The sequence below is a fragment of the Homo sapiens genome, chromosome 3 (genome assembly GCF_000001405.40).
Source record: "Homo sapiens chromosome 3, GRCh38.p14 Primary Assembly".
NCBI lineage: Eukaryota > Metazoa > Chordata > Mammalia > Primates > Hominidae > Homo > Homo sapiens.
This window is the reverse complement of record NC_000003.12, coordinates 189010702-189033291: the sequence shown is the minus strand read 5'-3', so window position 1 is coordinate 189033291 and position 22590 is coordinate 189010702. Positions and strand designations below refer to the sequence as shown.

Here is a 22590-nt window from a genome sequence, read left to right as displayed (position 1 = left end):
AAAAAAAAAAAAAAAGGAATAATGACTCTGCGTAGCTGTTCTCAATAGCCAATCTCCTTTTTTTCTGTAGTAATAGAGAACCTGGCTTTTAGTTTGGTACAAAGCTACCCAAAGACTAAATTTCCCAGCTTCACTTAAGGCATGGTCATGTGATAAGTTCTGGTCCAAAATGTGTGAGAAATGATATGTGTGATTTTTGAAATACATTTCCTAAAGAGATTTCCTAAAGAGACATTATCTTTCTTTTCTTTTTCTTCTATCCAGCTGTCTGAATCGTGTGCACGGTTGTGGGACATTTGGACTACAGATAAGAAAATGTGGCACATATACACCATGGAATAGTATGCAGCCATAAAAAATGATGAGTTCATGTCCTTTGTAGGGACATGGATGAAATTGGAAATCATCATTCTCAGTAAACTATCGCAAGGACAAAAAACCAAACACCGCATGTTCTCACTCATAGGTGGGAATTGAACAATGAGAACACATGGACACAGGAAGGGCAACATCACACTCTGGGGACTGTTGTGGGGTGGGGGGAGGGGGGAGGGATAGCATTAGGAGATACACCTAATGCTAAATGACGAGTTAACGGGTGCAGCACACCAGCATGGCCCATGTATACATATGTAACTAACCTGCACATTGTGCACATGTACCCTAAAACTTAAGTATAATAATAATAAAAAAAAAGAAAAAAAAAGGAGAGATTAATAACACATAAATAGCCAACTGGTGGAGCAAAACTCTCACAACCAGCCCAGGACCACCTGCCACTTGATTCGTATGTACGAGAGAAATAATTTATCTAGTGTATTCTATTTTTTATTTTTTCTATTGCTCCTGTAACAAATTACCACTGTATTAGTAGCTTAAAACAACTTGAATTTATTTTCATACAGTTTTGGATGTCAGAAGTCCAAAATTCAAGGTGCAGGACTGCTTTCTTTCTGGAGGCCCTAGGGGAAGAATCTGTTTCCCTGCTTTTTCCAGTGTGTAGAAGTCACCTACATTCCTTAGGTCACGGCCTCTTCCTTGCATTACAGCAACCTCTGCTTCAGTCATCACATTTTCTTTTCTGACTCTGCGCCTCCTCCCTCTCTCATGTGAAGACTCTTGTGATTACATGGCGCCCACTCAAATTGTTCATGGTAATTTTTTGTCTTATAATCTTTAACTCAATCACATCGGCAAAGCCTCTTTTGCTATGTAAGGTAACATAGTTATGGGTTACAAACATTAGGATGTGGATATATTTGGAGTAAGGGGGCTTTATTCTACCTCCCACATCTTTTATAAACGACTGTTACTTTGGGTCAATTTTATACCTAACTGGACCTAAATTCTAACTAATATACCCTCTTTCCCAAACTCTATTAGCTTCTTCTTATTATTATTTATTTTTATTATTCTAATTGCTACTTTCCTTGGTGAGACACTTTTTCCAAGAGTGCTTTAAAACAAGATCTTTGTTTAGGAAACACTTTTTAATATGTTACATGCACTGTTTGCCTCCCCACTTCCCAAATAAAGGTTGCCTGATATTTCCTCTCTTCATCTCAACCACTCCTCCACAGAGTGAATCACCAACCGTCTCATTAAAGAACACTGTCCTATACATATTTGTATTTTGTGGACCTAAAACAGTGCTTGGAATGTGATATTCACTCAGCAACAGTTTGCTAAATGATGTATTGAATTGGTCTTTATGTGATAGCCACAACAGAAAGAGAAAAGCCAGCAATGTAAGGAATACAAAGAGGAAGACACTGAAGAAAATACTAACCTACCACCCAATGTTGCTTGTCTTGACTTCCAGAGATGTTAATATCTAAGTAAAATAGGCTTCATATAAATGTATAAATATATGAAACATCATGCATACATATGCCATGTGTATTGGTACCACATATCCTGTGAGGTAGAAAGAATTGCCTTGTTCGCTTTTCAACCTTACACGGTTTTCAGTGTCCCTTTTAATTTTTCTTTTTTTTTTTTAAGACAGAGTCTCGCTCTGTCGCCCAGGCTGGAGTGCAGTGGCGCAATCGCGGCTCACTGCAACCTCCATCTCCCAGGTTCAAGTGATTCTCCTGCCTCAGCCTCCCGAGCAGCTGGGATTACAGGCACCTGACACCACGTCTGGATAATTTTTTGTTGTTGTTGTATTTTTAGTAGAGACGGGGTTTCTCCATGTTGGCCAGGCTGGTCTCTAACAGCTTGAGATCTCCTGACCTCAAGCAATCCACCCGCCTCAGCCTTCTAAAGTGCTGGGATTACAGGCGTGAGCCACGCTCGGCCCTTTTTAATTTTTTATTGAATATTTTCTCCAGTAATAAGTAATAGGGCACAGACACTGAAGACAGATAGTCTGGGTTAAGGTGCTGGCTTTGTCTTTTACTGGCTGTGTGATCTTGGACAAATGACAACTCATTTCTGTGTCCCAGTTTCCTCATCTGTAAAATGGGATAGTGACAATAATGAAAGCTAATTCATAGAATTGAAGGGTAGGTTAAATGAGTTAAGAAGCATGACATATGGTGATCTGCCATGACCCCTTCCTCATACGTACAGAACAGGTTGTACACTCCACTCCTCAGGGTAGGTGACTGGCGTAACACTTTCAGCAACTCTTCTTCATACTTCTAGGGCATGTTGTCCTCATGTCCTAGAAGTATGTACACTCCCCAAGGTAGGGAGCTTGGAGTAACACCTTTAGCAACTCTGTTCACTTCTTCCCCTGTAGGATCATTACCTGGATTTTACTTTTAGTAGATTTAATTGGGAATAATGGTTGGAGGAATTGGAAAGTGAATTATTTAATGCAGATTAATTAGAAAAAAGAAAGAAACTGATATTTTGATTTTTGATTCCAGAGGCTATTTAAAACTTATTGGAGAAAGGAGTATAGTATTGCCAGAAAAAAATCCAAGACATCCAGGTAAACTTGAATTTAAATTTAACTGGATGTTGTTTTTTACTTTTGTTTATATCTTTTGCTAATTCTGGCAAACCTACTCTGAAATGCCAATATTCATCTCACACAATTTCCTTATTTTGTGATGGGAAAATTGAAATAGATAATGAAATAAAGTCGCCCACATCTAGAAAATGAAACGCAAGACTCAAACCCAGATCTTATGACTCCTTTTCAAGTCACAAGAAGCACAAAAAAACATCAGAAATGTTCAGGCAAAAGAGCATAGAAAAAGAGAAGAAACACCTCTGGTTTCTCCTCCCGTACCCAGTTTGTCTTCGTGTTGCTATAAAGAAATACCTGAAGCTGAGTAATTTGTAAAGAAAAGAGGTTTGACTGCCTCACAGTTCTGCAGGCTGTACAGGAAGCATGATGCTGATGCTGATATCTGCTTATGGTGCGGCCTCAGGAAGCTTCCAATCATAGCGGAAGGCAATAGGGAGCCAGCGTATCACATGATCAGAGCAAGAGAAAGAGAGCTGTGGGAGGTGCCACACTAATAAACAACCAAATCTCATGGGAATGACTACGGTGAGAATTCTCTCATTATCCAGGGGATGGCACCAAGCCATTCACAAGGGACCTGCCCCCAGGATCCAAACACCTCCCACTAGGCTCCACCTCCAACATTGGAGATTACATTTCAACATGAGGTTTGGGTGGACAAACACCCAAACCATATCAGCTAGTTACATAAAAATATCTTTCTTAAATTTAGAATCCAGCTTCTAAGCCATTTATAAAGGCTTATACTACATTGCCTTTTTGTTGTTGTTGCTAAAATCATTAACCCATTAATTAAGATTGTGTGGGCCTGCTTGGGAAAAGCCTATTGAATTGCTTTTGTCTGTTCTATAATGAAAGACAGCACAGAGACAGGTTGGCATTAATTATGTTAAAGCCCTATTCATCTCTATTGATGTTAATTTACATGGAATGTTTTATAACATCGACATTCTATACTGTTTATTCCCTGCTCTTTTTATCAGAAGCAGCAACATCATAAAACATTGCATCTCTAAATAAACCACATTTCCAGGTGTCTGTTTTCAGCTGTTGAAGTCACATCTCACAAACTGATTCCTTTCTCCCCCTTCAACCAATTTAAATTTCAATAAAAAGGTATTATTTTCTCTGGCTCCCTTAGCTCAGGATAGCAGGCATTATCATATTAACTATTTTAGAGTAGAAAAAAAGGCTCAATTTTTATTGAACCTCTTTCCAAACTGTTCACTTTGCCTAAAATAAATTATCACTTTCAACCTACTAAATTACTTTTTTTTTTTTTTATTGAAAACACTTACTCAATTCCATCTTCAATAGGAAATAGACCATGACTGGGGACGAGGAGAAAGTTAAATTAGCCTCCCTTGCTCCTTTATTTCGAGACACTTGGTATTTTTATTAAAATGCCTATTATAATCTGCTCTGTAGTCATACATTTGTCAGCCTCACCTACTGGAGGGCAGGGGCTATGATGTACTCTAACTAACGTACAGTAGAAATACATTACTACCATTTGTTTTACTGTTTACAGAGACAAATGACCATGCTAACTACTATTTATTGGCCTTACCATACACAGTGTGCAGTGTGCTCAACATCTTACCCCTACTACATCACAGCAATGATACTGCACTAATAAATATTAGCACACGCAATTAAAAACCTGATACTTGCAAGGGAAAGGGCAGGTAATTACAAACCCTAAAAACTGCTAAAGGGGGAACTGGAATCTAGATCCCTTAACACACAAAGTTCTTTGTTTTCTTATCTGTTAGCTATAATGGGTGAAGATCTCAGATATGACAGAACCACGATCCTAATTCCTCTTTGTCTCCCACTTACTACCAAGGAACACATGAGCAATGCATGCTATATGAAGGACAGCAAAAGTGACCCTGTCCCCCATAGAAGAAATAGTTGTGACACTATTGGTCATCTTCAGTGGCTTATCTGGCCTTTCATTCGTTCTCTCCACCTTTGCACAATGAGCAATTTATGGAATGCCCAAGCGTCTCCCTCAAGTGCCAATCTTGGGTGGCAAATAGGGCACTGGAATGCGGTCAGGGAACTTGAAGCCTATTTCTGACAATATGATTGACTGGAGTTAGGCCTCAATTTCCCCATCCGTGAAGTCATGGAGTACGATTATATAACCAAAGGCTCCTTCTAGCTATATCTTCCTGTTATTCACCAGAATGTGGGTTTCCTGAGAAATCCCAGCACATGGCACACAGTAAGTTCTCAAAGTAAATACTTGATGAAATAATGAATAATCACCAGAATATGAATTTCCTGAGAAATCCTAGGACATGGCACACTGTAAGTTCTCAATAGTAAATACTTGATGAAATAATGAATAATGAGGGAACGAAAAAAAATGGCCACTACGTCAGTTCTCAGGAATCGGTAATAAGTTTTTCCTTCACATCAAGGCATAAGAGGGAATGCATGCTCACTGTTCACAATGCTATTGCTTTTAAGCCTTCCAACACACTTCCATCTGGCCCTGATTTTCCATTTTTCCAATTTGGAACAACTTTTCCTATCCATTGGAATCACTTCCTTTCTTATGTTTACAAAACATATGATTTGGGGATTTTGCATAATTCATCCAAAACATAGACTAACTCAAACTGAGTCCAAATACCATCCACCAAGCAGCACGGAATACAGCATTGGATACATAAAAACATAATTTTGTATGCCTTTGAAAACCTAGTGAAGAAATTCAACCTAGCCATATTTTAATCACAATAATATTGCCCCTGTGGGCTTGTCTTGCATACACCATGCGTGTATTTATATTTCTACATAGACTTTATGGTGTTTTGGTTCATTACAGTCTGGTTGTTCAAGTTGAATGCAGAAAAATGAGATTTTCAGCATAGTTCTGACTTTCTATTTACATACCTTACTTAGTCCAGATGTAAACTTTTAGAACAGCTGCATCTTTTAGAAGCAAAGGATTTATTGATTGCTTGTAGGCATTCTGAATACTGGTGGGGTATTTTGGTTTCTTTTGGCAGGGTCAGAGTGAGGCAGGCTGAGTGAAAATCTAATTGTTTACAAAAGTAGGCCTGAGGTACAAATGTAGTAGACACCACAGAAGTTATTAACTGAAAAACTCTTATTTTAAGGTTGGTCAAGGAAAGAAGAAAGTGTTGATTTGGAATTTTTCTCTAGTGCTTTCCCACCTTCACTGCACAAGAAAACAATTGCATAGCATTGCGTGCAAGGTATTTTTCTAAGCACCCTACAGATATTGACTCATCTAATACTGTTAACACATTGATCAGCACATTTTACTTACAAAAAATCAAAAGCTCAGAAAAATAAAGACATTTTTCTAAAGTTATTGATATATATAAGTGGCACAAGTCATGTTTAAGACCTGACAGCCTGGGTGTGGAGTCAATGCTCTCAACAAACACGCCATGTTGCCTCCTACCTGGGCTCCTTGCCTCCATCTTACTCCTTCGTCTTTCAATCCATCCTTCGCCAATGTGACTGTCTATAGCACAGCTTCGTTCCATGTTATTCTTCAGCTCAAAACTCATTAGTGTCTCTTAGCTGTCCTCCCAAATCAAGTGATGCATCCCCATTCTGCTTTTCCAAGACTCTACAACTTCACCTCAATATGTCTTTTCTAACTAATATTCTAAATCTCTCCCTGCACAAATCTTATGTTCCAGCTAAGCTTAAACCCTACTTGCCATTCCCAAAACATGGTTTTGATTTTTCCATCTCAATGTTCTCGTCCATGTGGAAAGAAAAAACTTCCCCAATACCAGGGCTAGTATAAACCTCACCTGCCCAGCAATGTGCAAAAATCACTTGCTCCCTGTTATAGACTGAATTGTGTGGCCCCAAAGTTCATATGTCAAAATCCAACCCCCAATGTGACAGTATTTGGATTTAGATCTTTAAAGAGGTCTAAGGTTAAATGAGATCTGAAGGCTGGCTCCCTAATCTGATAGGACTGATGTCCTTATAAGAAGAAGAAGAGACACCAGAGCTCACTCTCTCTCTCTGTCGTTTTCTCACTGTCTCTCTCTCTCCACAGAGAAAAGACCACATGAGGACAAAGTGAGGAGGAGGCAGTTGTCAAGTCAGGAAGAGAGGCCCCATCAGAAACCAACCCTGTTAGCATCATAATTTCAGTCTCCAAAATAGTGAGAAAAAAAATGTCTGTTAAGACACCCAATCTGTGGCATTTTGTTGTGGCAGCTCGAGCTAACTAATACACTCTCCCTCACTCCTTAGAATAGGGATTCTCAACCTTGTGTTCAATGACTGTGAAGCCTATAAATTTTGGTGATGCACTAATAAGGGCCTAAAAATATTTTAAAAAACTGAAAAAAGTCACGATTAATAACAACACATCTCTTTTGAGGAAGAACTGTATCTCTGAATGTTTAAAAATCATCCACCATTTTGCACTTTTTCTGGATCACTGTTCAACATGAAGTTATTATTTTTTTCACTGTAGATATGTCAACTGATTTGTTAATGCTTTCTTAGATACTCAAAAGACAACATTCTCTTATACCCTAGAGAATATTCCAGAAAGCAGGCACATGCTTGATTATTCCATGTCTCTTTCCTCTCAGTGTCAGCAAGTTACTCCTTGTTTTTCCCCTTATTTCAGAGGACATGTCAACCATTAGAGTGAATACACTATCATACCACACACAATTCGCTTCAGTATACTGCTCACATTTTATCAGCACCCTTGAGAAGATACATCCACAAGCCAGTTGAGAATTATTAAGGAGGGAGACAAGATGGCTGATTAGAAGCAGTTAACTTGCATGGCACTCAGGGAGAGGAACAAAGGGAGCAAGTAAATACAGCACCTTCAACTGAAATATCCAGGGACTCGCATTGGGACTGATCAGGGAAGCAATTCAATGCAGAGAAAATGGAGAAAAGCAGGGCAGGGCAGTGGCCCACCCAGGAGCAACACGGAGCCAAGGGAACCCCCACCCCAAGCCAAGGGAGGCAGTGAGTGAATGTGTGACCCCTGGAAACCACACTTCTCCTATGGATCTTTGCAACCCTCAGATCAGGATATCCCCTCATGAGCCCACCCCACCAGGGCCTTGGGTCCAACACACAGAGCTGTGTGGAGTCTAGGAAGAACCGGTGCTCAGGCACATACAGAGACCCAGGAGCTTTACATACTCCAGCCTTAGGATCCCCAAGAAAGGTGATGGCATCTCAGGCAAGGCAGGATGTTGGTACATACCCCTAGGAAGGGGGCTGAATCCAGGGGACCAGGCAGCATCAGTCTGCAGGACCCACTTCCATAGCACCTCCCAAAATAAAACCCACTGGCTTGGAATTCCAGCCAGCCACTGGCAGCAGCGTAATGCCTGTCTGAGATGGGACGAAGCCCCTGGGGGCTCTGTCATTTGGACAACTCAGCCAGCCTTTGCAGAGTCCAAAGATCCGAACGAGAAAGGGATCCCCAAACACAGCACAGATGCTTTATCAAAATGTGGCCAGACTGCTTCCTTAAGAGGGATCTTTATCCATTCCTCATTACTGGGCAGGACTTCGCATCCAGAGCCTCCAGCACCTCTGCCTATATTCTATAGGCAGAAATCTGATCTCTCCCTGGAACGGAGTGCCCAGGAGGGAGGGGTAGGCCACCATCATTGTTGTTTGGACAGCTCATCTGTTCCAGACTGCAGGCTTTAGAGAGTCCAAACCGTCTGGACAAGGAAGAAACCCCCCAGCACAGCACAGCTGCTTCACCAGAACATCGCCACACTGCTTCTTTAAACAAGACCCCAGTCCACTCCTCCTCACTGGGCAAGAGCTCCCAGCCAGGGCTTCCAGCCACCCTTGCCTATATTATATAGACAGAGTTTTGATTTCCCCCTGGGATAGAGTGCCCTGGGAGAGGGGCAGGCTACTACCTTTGCTGTTTGGGTGACTTGGCTGTTCCAGCCTAGAGGCTTTGGAGAGTCCAAACGAATCAGGGCAGAGGCGGTTCCCCAGCAGAGCTGGCCTGTTTTGTTGAGGTGTGGCCAGACTGCTTCTTTAAAGGGGACCCTGATCCATTCCTCCTCACGGGGAAGGTTCTCCCAGCCAGGGCCTCCAGCCATCTCTCCCCATGTTCTACTGGCTACAGAGTTCTAATTTCTCCCTGGGATGGAGTGCCTGGAGGGCAGGGTGGGCCACCACCTTTGCTGTTTAGACGTTTCAGCTGGTCTAGCCTGTGTGCCTTGGAGAGTCCAAACCAACTGGGGACTGAAGGGATCCCCCAACACAGCAAAGCTGCTCTACCAAAACACAGCCAGACTACTTTTTTAAGTGGGTCTCTGATCCCGTTCCTCCTGAGTGGTGAGACCTACCAACTGGAGTCTTCAGCCACCTCATGCAGGTGTATTCAGGCCAGCAACAGTTCTGTACACCCCTAGGATGGAACTCCCAGAGGAAAGGGCAGGCTGCCATCTTTGCTGTTTCAGAGCTTTCACTGGTGAAACCTCCAGGTACTGCAAAAACTGAGGCATCTATGGTCTGGAGAAGAACCCCGCAAACTGCAGCAGCCCTAGAAAAGAGTGGCCAGACTGTTAAAAGAAAAACAACAAACAAACAAAAATAACAACAAAAAAGAAACACAATAACCCCATCCAAAGGGCAGCAACCTCATAGATCAAAGGTAAGCCCATAAAGATGAGAAAGAATCAGTGCAAAAATGCTGACAACTCAAAGAGGCAGAGTGCCCCCTTTCCTCCAAATGACTGCAACACCTCTCCAGCAAGGGTTCAGAACTGGGCTGAGGCTGAGATGGCTAAAATGACAGAAGTAAGCTTCAGAATATGGATAAAAACAAACTTCGCTAAGTTAAAGGAGCATGCTGTAACTCAATGCGAAGAAGCTAAGAATCATGATAAAACAATGCAGAAGCTGACAGCAAAAACAGCCAGTATAGAGAGGAAAATAACTGACCTGATAGAGCTGAAAAACACAGTACAAGAACTTCACCATGCAATCACAAGTATTAAAGCAGAACAGACCAAGTGGAGTAAAGAATCTCAGAGCTCGGGGAGGAGCCAAGATGGCCGAATAGGAACAGCTCCGGTCTGCAGCTCCCAGCGTGAGCGACGCAGAAGACGGGTGATTTCTGCATTTCCATCTGAGGTACCGGGTTCATCTCACTAGGGAGTGCCAGACAGTGGGCGCAGGTCAGTGGGTGCGCGCACCATGCGCGAGCCAAAGCAGGGCGAGGTATTGCCTCACTCGGGAAGTGCAAGGGGTCAGGGAGTTCCCTTTCCGAGTCAAAGAAAGGGGTGACGGACGGCACCTGGAAAATCGGGTCGCTCCCACCCGAATACTGCGCTTTTCCGACGGGCTTAAAAAACTGCGCACCATGAGATTATATCCGGCACCTGGCTCGGAGGGTCCTACCCCACGGAGTCTCGCTGATTGCTAGCACAGCAGTCTGAGATCAAACTGCAAGGCGGCAGCGAGGCTGGGGGAGGGGCGCCCGCCATTGCCCCGGCTTGATTAGGTAAACAAAGCAGCCGGGAAGTTCCAACTGGGTGGAGCCTGCCACAGCTCAAGGAGGCCTGCCTGCCTCTTTAGGCTCCACCTCTGGGGGCAGGGCATAGACAAAAAGACAGCAGTAACCTCTGCAGACTTAAATGTCCCTGTCTGACAGCTTTGAAGAGAGCAGTAGTTCTCCCAGCACGCAGCTGGAGATCTGAGAACGGGCAGACTGCCTCCTCAAGTGGGTCCCTGACCCCTGACCCCCGAGCAGCCTAACTGGGAGGCACCCCCCAGCAGGGGCACACTGACACCTCACACTGCAGGGTACTCCAACAGACCTGCAGCTGAGGGTCCTGTCTGTTAGAAGGAAAACTAACAAACAGAAAGGACATCCACACCAAAAACCCATCTGTACATCACCATCATCAAAGACCAAAAGTAGATAAAACCACAAAGATGGGGAAAAAACAGAACAGAAAAACTGGAAACTCTAAAAAGCAGAGTGCCTCTCCTCCTCCAAAGGAACGCAGTTCCTCACCAGCAACGGAACAAAGCTGGAAGGAGAATGACTTTGACGAGCTGAAAGAAGAAGACTTCAGACGATCAAATTACTCTGAGCTACGGGAGGACATTCAAACCAAAGGCAAAGAAGATGAAAACTTTGAAAAAAATTTGGAAGAATGTATAACTAGAATAACCAATACAGAGAAGTGCTTAAAGGAGCTGATGGAGCTGAAAACCAAGGCTCGAGAACTACGTGAAGAATGCAGAAGCCTCAGGAGCCAATGCGATCAACTGGAAGAAAGGGTATCAGTAATGGAAGATGAAATGAATGAAATGAAGCAAGAAGGGAAGGTTAGAGAAAAAAGAATAAAAAGAAACGAGCAAAGCCTCCAAGAGATATGGGACTATGTGAAAAGACCAAATCTACGTCTCATTGGTGTACCTGAAAGTGATGGGGAGAATGGAACCAAGTTGGAAAACACTCTGCAGGATATTATCCAGGAGAACTTCCCCAATCTAGCAAGGCAGGCCAACGTTCAAATTCAGGAAATACAGAGAACGCCACAAAGATACTCCTCGAGAAGAGCAACTCCAAGACACATAATTGTCAGATTCACCAAAGTTGAAATGATGGAAAAAATGTTAAGGGCAGCCAGAGAGAAAGGTCAGGTTACCCTCAAAGGGAAGCCCATCAGACTAACAGCAGATCTCTCGGCAGAAACCCTACAAGCCAGAAGAGAGTGGGGGGTAATATTCAACATTCTTAAAGAAAAGAATTTTCAACCCAGAATTTCATATCCAGCCAAACTAAGCTTCATAAGTGAAGGAGAAATAAAATCCTTTACAGACAAGCAAATGCCGAGAGATTTTGTCACCACCAGGCCTGCCCTAAAAGAGCTCCTGAAGGAAGCGCTAAACATGGAAACGAACAACCGGTACCAGCCGCTGCAAAATCATGCCAAAATGTAAAGACCATCGAGACTAGGAAGAAACTGCATCAACTAACGAGCAAAATAACCAGCTAACATCATAATGACAGGATCAAATTCACACATAACAATATTAACTTTCAATGTAAATGGACTAAATGCTCCAATTAAAAGACACAGACTGGCAAATTGGATAAAGAGTCAAGACCCATCAGTGTGCTGTATTCAGGAAACCCATCTCATGTGCAGAGACACACATAGGCTCAAAATAAAAGGATGGAGGAAGATCTACCAAGCAAATGGAAAACAAAAAAAGGCAGGGGTTGCAATCCTAGTCTCTGACAAAACAGACTTTAAACCAACAAAGATCAAAAGAGACAAAGAAGGCCATTATATAATGGTAAAGGGATCAATTCAACAAGAAGAGCTAACTATCCTAAATATATATGCACCCAATACAGGAGCACCCAGATTCATAAAGCAAGTCCTCAGTGACCTACAAAGAGACTTAGACTCCCACACATTAATAATGGGAGACTTTAACACCCCACTGTCAACATTAGACAGATCAACGAGACAGAAAGTCAACAAGGATACCCAGGAATTGAACTCAGCTCTGCACCAAGCAGACCTAATAGACATCTACAGAACTCTCCACCCCAAATCAACAGAATATACATTTTTTTCAGCACCACACCACACCTATTCCAAAATTGACCACATACTTGGAAGTAAAGCTCTCCTCAGCAAATGTAAAAGAACAGAAATTATAACAAACTATCTCTCAGACCTCAGTGCAATCAAACTAGAACTCAGGATTAAGAATCTCAATCAAAACCGCTCAACTACATGGAAACTGAACAACCTGCTCCTGAATGACTACTGGGTACATAACGAAATGAAGGCAGAAATAAAGATGTTCTTTGAAACCAACGAGAACAAAGACACAACATACCAGAATCTCTGGGACGCATTCAAGCAGTGTGTAGAGGGAAATTTATAGCACTAAATGCCCACAAGAGAAAGCAGGAAAGATCCAAAATTGACACCCTAACATCACAAGTAAAAGAACTAGAAAAGCAAGAGCAAACACATTCAAAAGCTAGCAGAAGGCAAGAAATAACTAAAATCAGAGCAGAACTGAAGGAAATAGAGACACAAAAAACCCTTCAAAAAATTAATGAATCCAGGAGCTGGTTTTTTGAAAGGATCAACAAAATAGATAGACCGCTAGCAAGACTAATAAAGAAAAAAAGAGAGAAGAATCAAATAGACGCAATAAAAAATGATAAAGGGGTATCACCACCGATCCCACAGAAATACAAACTACCATCAGAGAATACTACAAACACCTCTACGCAAATAAACTAGAAAATCTAGAAGAAATGGATAAATTCCTCGACACATACACACTCCCAAGACTAAACCAGGAAGAAGTTGAATCTCTGAATAGACCAATAACAGGATCTGAAATTGTGGCAATAATCAATAGCTTACCAACCAAAAAGAGTCCAGGACCAGATGGATTCACAGCCGAATTCTACCAGAGGTACAAGGAGGAACTGGTACCATTCCTTCTGAAACTATTCCAATCAATAGAAAAAGAGGGAATCCTCCCTAACTCATTTTATGAGGCCAGCATCATTCTGATACCAAAGCTGGGCAGAGACACAACCAAAAAAGAGAATTTTAGACCAATATCCTTGATGAACATTGATGCAAAAATCCTCAATAAAATACTGGCAAAACAAATCCAGCAGCACATCAAAAAGCTTATCCATCATGATCAAGTGGGCTTCATCCCTGGGATGCAAGGCTGGTTCAATACACGCAAATCAGTAAATGTAATCCAGCATATAAACAGAGCCAAAGACAAAAACCATATGATTATCTCAATAGATGCAGAAAAGGCCTTTGACAAAATTCAACAACTCTTCATGCTAAAAACTCTCAATAAATTAGGTATTGATGGGACGTATTTCAAAATAATAAGAGCTATCTACGACAAACCCACGGCCAATATCACACTGAATGGGCAAAAACTGGAAGCATTCCCTTTGAAAACTGGCACAAGACAGGGATGCCCTCTCTCACGACTCCTATTCAACATAGTGTTGGAAGTTCTGGCCAGGGCAATTAGGCAGGAGAAGGAAATAAAGGGTATTCAATTAGGAAAAGAGGAAGTCAAATTGTCCCTGTTTGCAGACGACATGATTGTATATCTAGAAAACCCCATTGTCTCAGCCCAAAATCTCCTTAAGCTGATAAGCAACTTCAGCAAAGTCTCAGGATACAAAATCAATGTACAAAAATCACAAGCATTCTTATACACCAACAACAGACAAACAGAGAGACAAATTATGAGTGAACTCCCATTCACAATTGCTTCAAAGAGAATCAAATACCTAGGAATCCAACTTACAAGGGATGTGAAGGACCTCTTCAAGGAGAACTACAATCCACTGCTCAAGGAAATAAAAGAGGATACAAACAAATGGAAGAACATTCCATGCTCATGGGTAGGAAGAATCAATATCATGAAAATGGCCATACTGCCCAAGGTAATTTACAGATTCAATGCCATCCCCATCAAGCTACCAATGACTTTCTTCACAGAATTGGAAAAAACTACTTTAAAGTTCATATGGAACCAAAAAAGAGCCTGCAATGCCAAGTCAATCCTAAGCCAAAAGAACAAAGCTGGAGGCATCACACTACCTGACTTCAAACTATACTACAAGGCTACAGTAACCAAAACAGCATGGTACTGGTACCAAAACAGAGATATAGATCAATGGAACAGAACAGAGCCCTCAGAAATAATGCCGCATATCTACAACTATCTGATCTTTGACAAACCTGAGAAAAACAAGCAATGGGGAAAGGATTCCCTATTTAATAAATGGTGCTGGGAAAACTGGCTGGCCATATGTAGAAAGCTGAAACTGGATTCCTTCCTTACACCTTATACAAAAATCAATTCAAGATGGATTAAAGACTTAAACGTTAGACCTAAAACCATAAAAACCCCAGAAGAAAACCTAGGCATTACCATTCAGGACATAGGCATGGGCAAGGACTTCATGTCTAAAACACCAAAAGCAATGGCAACAAAAGCCAAAATTGACAAATGGGATCTAATTAAACTAAAGAGCTTCTGCACAGCAAAAGAAACTACCATCAGAGTGAACAGGCAACCTACAAAATGGGAGAAAATTTTCGCAACCTACTCATCTGACAAAGGGCTAATATCCAGAATCTACAAAGAACTTCAACAAATTTACGAGAAAAAAACAAACAACCCCATCAAAAAGTGGGCAAAGGACATGAACAGACACTTCTCAAAAGAAGACATTTATGCAGCCAAAAAACACATGAAAAAATGCTCACCATCACTGGCCATCAGAGAAATGCAAATCAAAACCACAATGAGATACCATCTCACACCAGTTAGAATGGCGATCATTAAAAAGTCAGGAAACAACAGGTGCCAGAGAGGATGTGGAGAAATAGGAACACTTTTACACTGTTGGTGGGACTGTAAACTAGTTCATCCCTTGTGGAAGTCAGTGTGGCGATTCCTCAGGGATCTAGAACTAGAAATACCATTTGACCCAGCCATCCCATTACTGGGTATATACCCAAATGACTATAAATCATGCTGCTATAAAGAGACATGCACACGTATGTTTATAGCGGCACTATTCACAATAGCAAAGACTTGGAACCAACCCAAATGTCCAACAATGATAGACTGGATTAAGAAAATGTGGCACATATACACCATGGAATACTATGCAGCCATAAAAAATGATGAGTTCATGTCCTTTGTAGGCACATGGATGAAACTGGAAATCATCATTCTCAGTAAACTATCACAAGAACAAAAAACCAAACACCGCATATTCTCACTCATAGGTGGGAATTGAACAATGAGATCACATGGACACAGGAAGGGGAACATCACACTCTGGGGACTGTTGTGAGGTGGGGGGAGCAGGTAGGGATAGCACTGGGAGATATACCTAATGCTAGATGACGAGTTAGTGGGGGCAGTGCACCAGCATGGCACATGTATACATATGTAACTAACCTGCACAATGTGCACATGTACCCTAAAACTTAAAGTATAATAATATAAAAAAATATATATTTTAATAAAAAAAAAAAGAATCTCAGAGCTCAAAGACTGTCTTTCTGAAATAAGACAGGCAGACAAGATTAGAAAAAAAAAATGAAAAGGCATGAACAAAATGTCCAAGAAATATGGGATTATGAAAAGATACCAAATCTACAACTGATTGGGGTACCTGAAAGAGACAGTGAGAATGGAACCAATTTAGAAAACATATTTCAGGATATCATCCAGGAGCACTTCCCCAACCCAGTTAGACAGGCCAACATTCAAATTCAGGAAATGCAGAGAACCCAGTATATTAATTCGTTTTCACACTGCTATAGAGAACTACCAGAGACTGAGTAATTTATGAAGAAAAGAGGTTTAATTGACTCACAGTTCTGTAGGCTTAATAGAAAGCATGACTGGGGGGCCTCAGGAAACTTACTATCATGGCAGAAGGTGAAGGGGAAGCAAGGGACATCTTCCCATGGCAGAGCAGGAGAAAGAGAGCATGAAGGGGGAAGTGCCACACACTTTCATAAAACCAGATCTCATGAGAACTCACTCACTATTACAAGAATAGCAAGATAGGAGTCCACCCCCATAATTCAATTACCTCCCACCTGGTCCCTCACCAAACACATGAGGATTAAAATTTGAAATGAGATTTGGGTGGGGTCACAGAGCACAATCATATCACTCCATCCCAGCCCCTCCCGAATCTCATGTCCTTCTCACATTTCAAAACCAGTCATGCCTTTCCAACAGTCCCCCAATGTCTTAACTGATTCCAACATTAACTCAAAAGTCCACAATCCAAAGTCTTATCTGAGACAAAGTATGTCCCTTCTGTTTATGAGCCTATAAAATCAAAAAGAGGCTCATATACAGAAGGGACATACTTAGTTACTTCCAAAATACAATGGCAGCACAATTATTGGGTAAATACTCCCATTCCAAATGGAAGGAATTGGCCAAAATAAAGGTGCTACAGGCCCCAAGCAATTCTGAAACCCAGCAGGGCAGTCTTTAAATCTTAAAGTTCCAAAATAATCTCCTTTGACTCCATGTCTCACATCAAGGCCACATTGATGCCAGGGATGGGTTCCCAAGGCCTTGGGCATCTCGACCCCTGTGGCTCTACAGGGTACAGGCCTCTTGGCTGCTTTCACAGGCTGTTATTGAGTGCCTGCAGCTTTTCCAGGTACACGGTGCAAGCTGTTATTGGATCTACCATTCTGGGGTCTGGAGGATGGTAGCCTTCTTCTCACAGCTCCACTAGGCAGTGTCTTAGTGGAGACTCTGTGTGGGGGCTCCAACTCCACATTTCCCCTCTGTACTGACTTTGTACAGGCTCTCCATGAGGGATCTGTGCCTACAGTAAACTTCTGCCTAGACATCCATTTGTTTCCATAAATCCTCTGAAATCTAAGTGGAGGTTCCCAAACCTCAACTCTTACCTTCTGTGTGCCTGCAGGCCCAACACCACATAGAAACCACCAAGGTCTGGGGGGCTTGCACCCTCTGAAGCAATGGCCCAAGCTGTATCCTGGCCCCTTTTAGCCACAGCTTAAGCAGGAGTAGCTGGGACACAGGGCACCATGTCTCAAGGCTGCAAAGAGCAGCAGGGCCCTGGGCCTGGCTTATGAAACCATTTTTTCCTCTTAAGCCTCCAGGACTGGGATGGGAGGGGCTGTCACGAAGGTCTGTGACATGCACTGGGGGCATTTTCCCCATTGTCTTGGCTATTAACATTTGGCTCCTCTTTACTTATGCAAATTTCTGCAAGCAGCTTTAATTTCTTCCAGAAAATGTTTTTTTCTTCTCTACCATATAGTTGGGCTGCAAATTTTCCAAACTTTGATGCTCTGTTTACCTTTTAAACATAAGTTTCAATTTCAGACCATCTCTTTGTGAATGCATATAACTGTACACAGTTACAAGCAGCCATGCCACATCTTGAATGTTTTACTGCTTAGAAATTTCTTCCACCAGATACACTAAATCATCTCTCCCAGGTTCAAAGTTCCACAGATCCCTAGAACAGGGGCACAATGCCACCAGTCTTTTCCTAAAGCTTAGCAAGAATAACATTTACTCCAGTTCCCAATAAGTTCTTCATCTCCACCTGAGAACACCTCGCCCTGGACTTTCTTGTCCATATCACTATTACCATTTTGGTCAAAATTATTCAAAAAAATCTCAAGGAAGTTCCAAACTTTCCTGCGTCATCTTATCTTCTTCTGACCCCTCCAAACTGTTCCAACCTCTACTTGCTAACCAGTTCCAAAGTTCTTTTTACATTTTCAAGTATCTTTATAACAGTGCCCCACTATCCTGGTACCAATTTTCTGTAGTATTCCATTTTCTCACTGCTATAAAGTACTACCTGAGACTGAGTAATTTATGAAGAAAAGGCATTTAGTTGACTCAGTTCTCCAGGCTTAACAGGAAGCATGACTGGGGCTCCTCAGGGAACCTACAATCATAGTGGAAGGCAAAGGGGAAACAAGGCACATCTTCCCCTGGTGGAGCAGGAGAAAGAGAAAGCAAAGGGGGAAGTGCCACACACTTTCAAATGACAATATCTTGTGAGAACTCCCTCACAATCATGAGAACAGCAAGGGAGAAGATTTCCCCCATGATTCAGTCACCTTGCACCAGGCCCCTCCCATGAAATGTGGGAATTCTAATTCAAAATGAGATTTAGGTGGGAACACAGAGCCAAACCATATCATACATTATAACAGTCCATGAGAAGATTACCCCAAGACACATCATCATCACATTCACCAAGGTCGAAATAAAAGAAAAAATGTTAAGGGCAGTGAGAGAGAAAGGCCAAGTCACCTACAGTGGGGGCCCAGTAGACTAACAGTAGGCCTTTCAGTGGAAACCCTACAAGCCAGAAGAGATAGGGGGCCAGTATTCAACTTTCTTAAAGGAAAAAAATATCAACCAAGAATTTCATATCCAGCCAAACTAAGCTTCATAAGTGAAGGAGAAATAAATAAGATCCTGTTCAGACAAGCAAATCCTGAGGCAATTCGTTACCACTAGACCTGCCTTACAACACCTTCTGAAAGAAACACTAAATATGGACAAGAAAAACTATTAGCAGCCATTACAAAAACACACTGAAGTACACAGACTAGTGACACTATGAAACAACCACATAAACAAGTCTGCAAAGTAACCAGCTAGCATCATGATGGCAGGATCAAATTCACACATAACAATACTAACCTTAAATGTAAGAAGACGACATGGGCCCCCAATGAAAAGACAGAGTGGCAAGCTGGATAAAGAACCAACACCCACTGCAATGCTATCTTCAAGAGATCCATTTCACAGGTAAGAACATCACAGGCTCAAAATTAAGGGATGGATGAAAAAATTAAAAAGCAGGGGTTGCAATCTTAGTTTCTGACAAAACAGGCTTTAAATCAACAAAAGTCAAAAAAAGACAAAGAAGGGCAATATATAAGGGTAGAGGGTTCATATATATGTAGCATAGAGCTAACTACCCTAAATATTTATGCACCAAATACAGGAGCACCCAGATTCATAAAGCAAGTTCTTAGAAAACTTCAAAGAGACCTCAAATCCCACACAATAATAGTGGGATACTTTAACACCCTACTGACAATATTAAACAAATCATCAAGACAGAAAATAACAGGGATTTTCAGGACCTGAACTCAGCTCTGGATCAGGTGGACCTGATAGATATCTACAGAACCCTTTGACCCAAAACAACAGAATATACATTCTTCTTATTGCCACATAGCACTTACTCAAAAAAATGATCACATAATTGAAAGTGAAACACTCCTCAGCAAATGCAAAAGAACTGAAATCATAACAAGCAGTCTCCTGGACCACAGCACAATCAAATTAGAACTCAAGATTAAGAAATTTACTTAAAACCATACAACTACATGGAAATTGAACAACCTGCTCCTGAATGAATTTAGGGTAAATAATGAAATTAAGGTAGAAATCAAGAAGGTTTTTTGAAACCAGTGAGAACAAAGATACAAAGTACCAGAATCTCTGAGACTCAGCTAAAGCAGTGAAAAGAGGGAAATTTATATCACCAAATGCCCACATCAAAAAGCTAGAAAGATCTCAAGATAACAACCTAACATCACTAAAAGAACTAGTGAATCAAGAGCAAACAAACCCCAAAGCTAGCAGAAGGCAAGAAATAACCAAGATTAGAGCTGAACTGAAGGAGATAGAAATACAAAAGATATTTCTATCTCCTTCGTAGAGATATGAAAAATCCTTCAAGAAATCAACAAATCCAGGAACTGATTTTTTGAAAAATTAATAAAATAGACCACTAGCTAGACTAACAAAGAAGAAAAGAGAGAAGATTCAAAAAACACAATCAGAAATGATAAGGGGGATATTACCACTGACCCTAGAGAAATAAAAACAACTATCAGAGGATATTATAAACATCCCTATGCACATAAAATAGAAAATTTAGAAGAAATGAATAAATTGCTGGACATATACACCCTCCCAAGAATGAACCAGAAAGAAATTGAATCCATGAATAGACCAATAATGAGTTCTGAAATTGAGTCAGTAATAAATAGCCTACCAACCAAAAAAGTCCAGGACCAGGCAGATTCACAGCTGAATTATACCAGATGTACAAAGAAGAGCTGGTATCATTCCTACTGAAACTATTCTGAAAAATTGAAAACAAAATACTGGCAAAACCAAATCCAGCAGCACATCAAAAAGCTTATCCACCATTATCAAGTAGGCTTCATCCCTGGGATGCAAGACTCGTTCAGCATACACAAATTAATAAACATAATTCATCACATACTTAAAGACAAAAACCACATGATTATCTCAAATGCAGAAAAGGCCTTAGATAAAATTCAACATTCCTTCATTTAAAAACTCTCAATAAACTAGGTTTTAATGGAACATACCTCAAAATAATAAAAGTCATATATGACAAACCCACAACCAATATCACAGTGAATGGGCAAATGCTAGAAGCATTCTTCTTGAAAACCAGCACAACACAAGGTTGCTCTGTCTCACTACTCCTATTCAACATAGTATTGGAAGTTCCAGCCAAGGCAATCAGCCAAGAGAAAGAAATAAAGCATATTTAAATAGGAAGAGAGGAAGCTAAATTAACTTTGTTTGCAGATGACATGATCCTACCTCTAGAAAACCCCGTCATCTCAGCCCAAAGGCTTTTCAAACTGATAAACAACTTCAACAAAGTCTCAGGATACAAAATCACTGTGCAAAAATCACTAGTATTCCTATACACAAACAATAGGCAAGCTGAGAGCCAAATCACAAATGAACTCCCATTCACAATTGCTACAAAAAGAATAAAATAACTAGGAATACAGCTAACAAGGAAAGTGAAGGACCTCTTCAAGGAGAACTACAAATAACTGTTCAAAGAAATCAGAGAGGACACAAACAGATGGAAAAACATCCCATGCTCATGGATAGTGATATGGTTTGGCTCTTTGTCCCACCCAAATCTCATCTCATAGCTCCCATAATTCCCACATGTTGTGGGATGGACCCAGTGGGAGATGATTGATTCATGGGGGCCGGTCTTTCCCATGCTCTTCTCATGATAGTGAATGGGTCTCACAAGATCTGATAGTTTTAAAAATGGGAGTTGCCCCGCACAAGCTCTCTTTGCCTGCCACCATCTAAGTAAGATTTGATTTGCTTCTCCTTGCCTTCTGCCATGATTGAGAGGCATCCCTAGCCACATGGTACTATGAGTTCTCCATTAAATTTCTTTCTTTTGTAAATTGCCCATTCTCGAATATGTCTTTTCAGCAGCATGAAAATGAACTAATACAGATAGAAGGAATCAATATCGTGAAAATGGCTATCCTACCCAAAGTAATTTATAGATTCAATGCTATTCTCATTAAACTACCATTGACATTCTTCACGGAATTAGGAAAAACTGTTTTAAAATTCATATGGAACAAAAAAAGAGCCGATTAGACAAGGCAATCATAAGCAAAAAGAACAAAGCTGGAGGCATCAGGCTACCTGACTTCAAACTATACTACAAGGCTACAGTAACCAAAACAATGTGGTACTGGACAACAACAGACATATAGATCAATCTAACAGAATAGAAAACACAGAAATGAGACCACACACCTATAACCATCTGATCTTCAACAAAGCTGACAGAAACACACAATGGGGAAATGATTCCCTGTTCAATAAATGGTGCTGGGAGAACTGGCTAGCCATATGCAGAAGATTGAAGCTGGACCCCTTCCTTACACCATATACCAAAAAAATCAACTCAAGCTGGATTAAAGATTTAAATGTAAAACCCAAAACTATAAAAACCCTAGAAGAAAACCTAGTAATACCATTCAAGACATAGGCATGGGTAAAGAGTTCATGAGGAAGATGCCAAAAGCAAAAATAGACAAATGGGATCTAATTAACTAAAGAGCTTCTGCACAGCAAAAGAAATTGTCAACAGAGTAAACAGACAACCTACAGAATGGGACAAATTTTTG

At 41.1% G+C, this 22590-nt stretch overlaps 1 protein-coding gene across 2 annotated transcripts in view, besides 1 other annotated feature; it reads right to left on the bottom strand.

Annotated features, from left to right (window-relative positions):
* Positions 1–22590, bottom strand: part of TPRG1 (tumor protein p63 regulated 1) — a 328078-nt gene that overhangs the window by 292013 nt on the left and 13475 nt on the right. The window contains exons 1-2 of one of the 2 annotated variants that reach the window (XR_007095667.1): positions 9944–10555; positions 9346–9542 (exon numbers count right to left, since the gene is read on the bottom strand). The gene's annotated coding sequence lies outside the window, so the exon portion shown is untranslated. Of the gene's footprint in view, positions 1–9345; positions 9543–9943; positions 10556–22590 lie in introns of those variants that run through there. The other variant, XR_001740120.3, reaches the window with a different exon arrangement.
* Positions 10275–10791: an enhancer, noted in NCBI's record as "NANOG-H3K27ac-H3K4me1 hESC enhancer chr3:188740290-188740806 (GRCh37/hg19 assembly coordinates)". NCBI's record gives its function as "activates a minimal SCP1, AML or CMV promoter by ChIP-STARR-seq in naive H9 embryonic stem cells {active_cell/tissue: H9 hESC(naive)}" and the evidence as "EXISTENCE:reporter gene assay evidence [ECO:0000049][PMID:30033119]".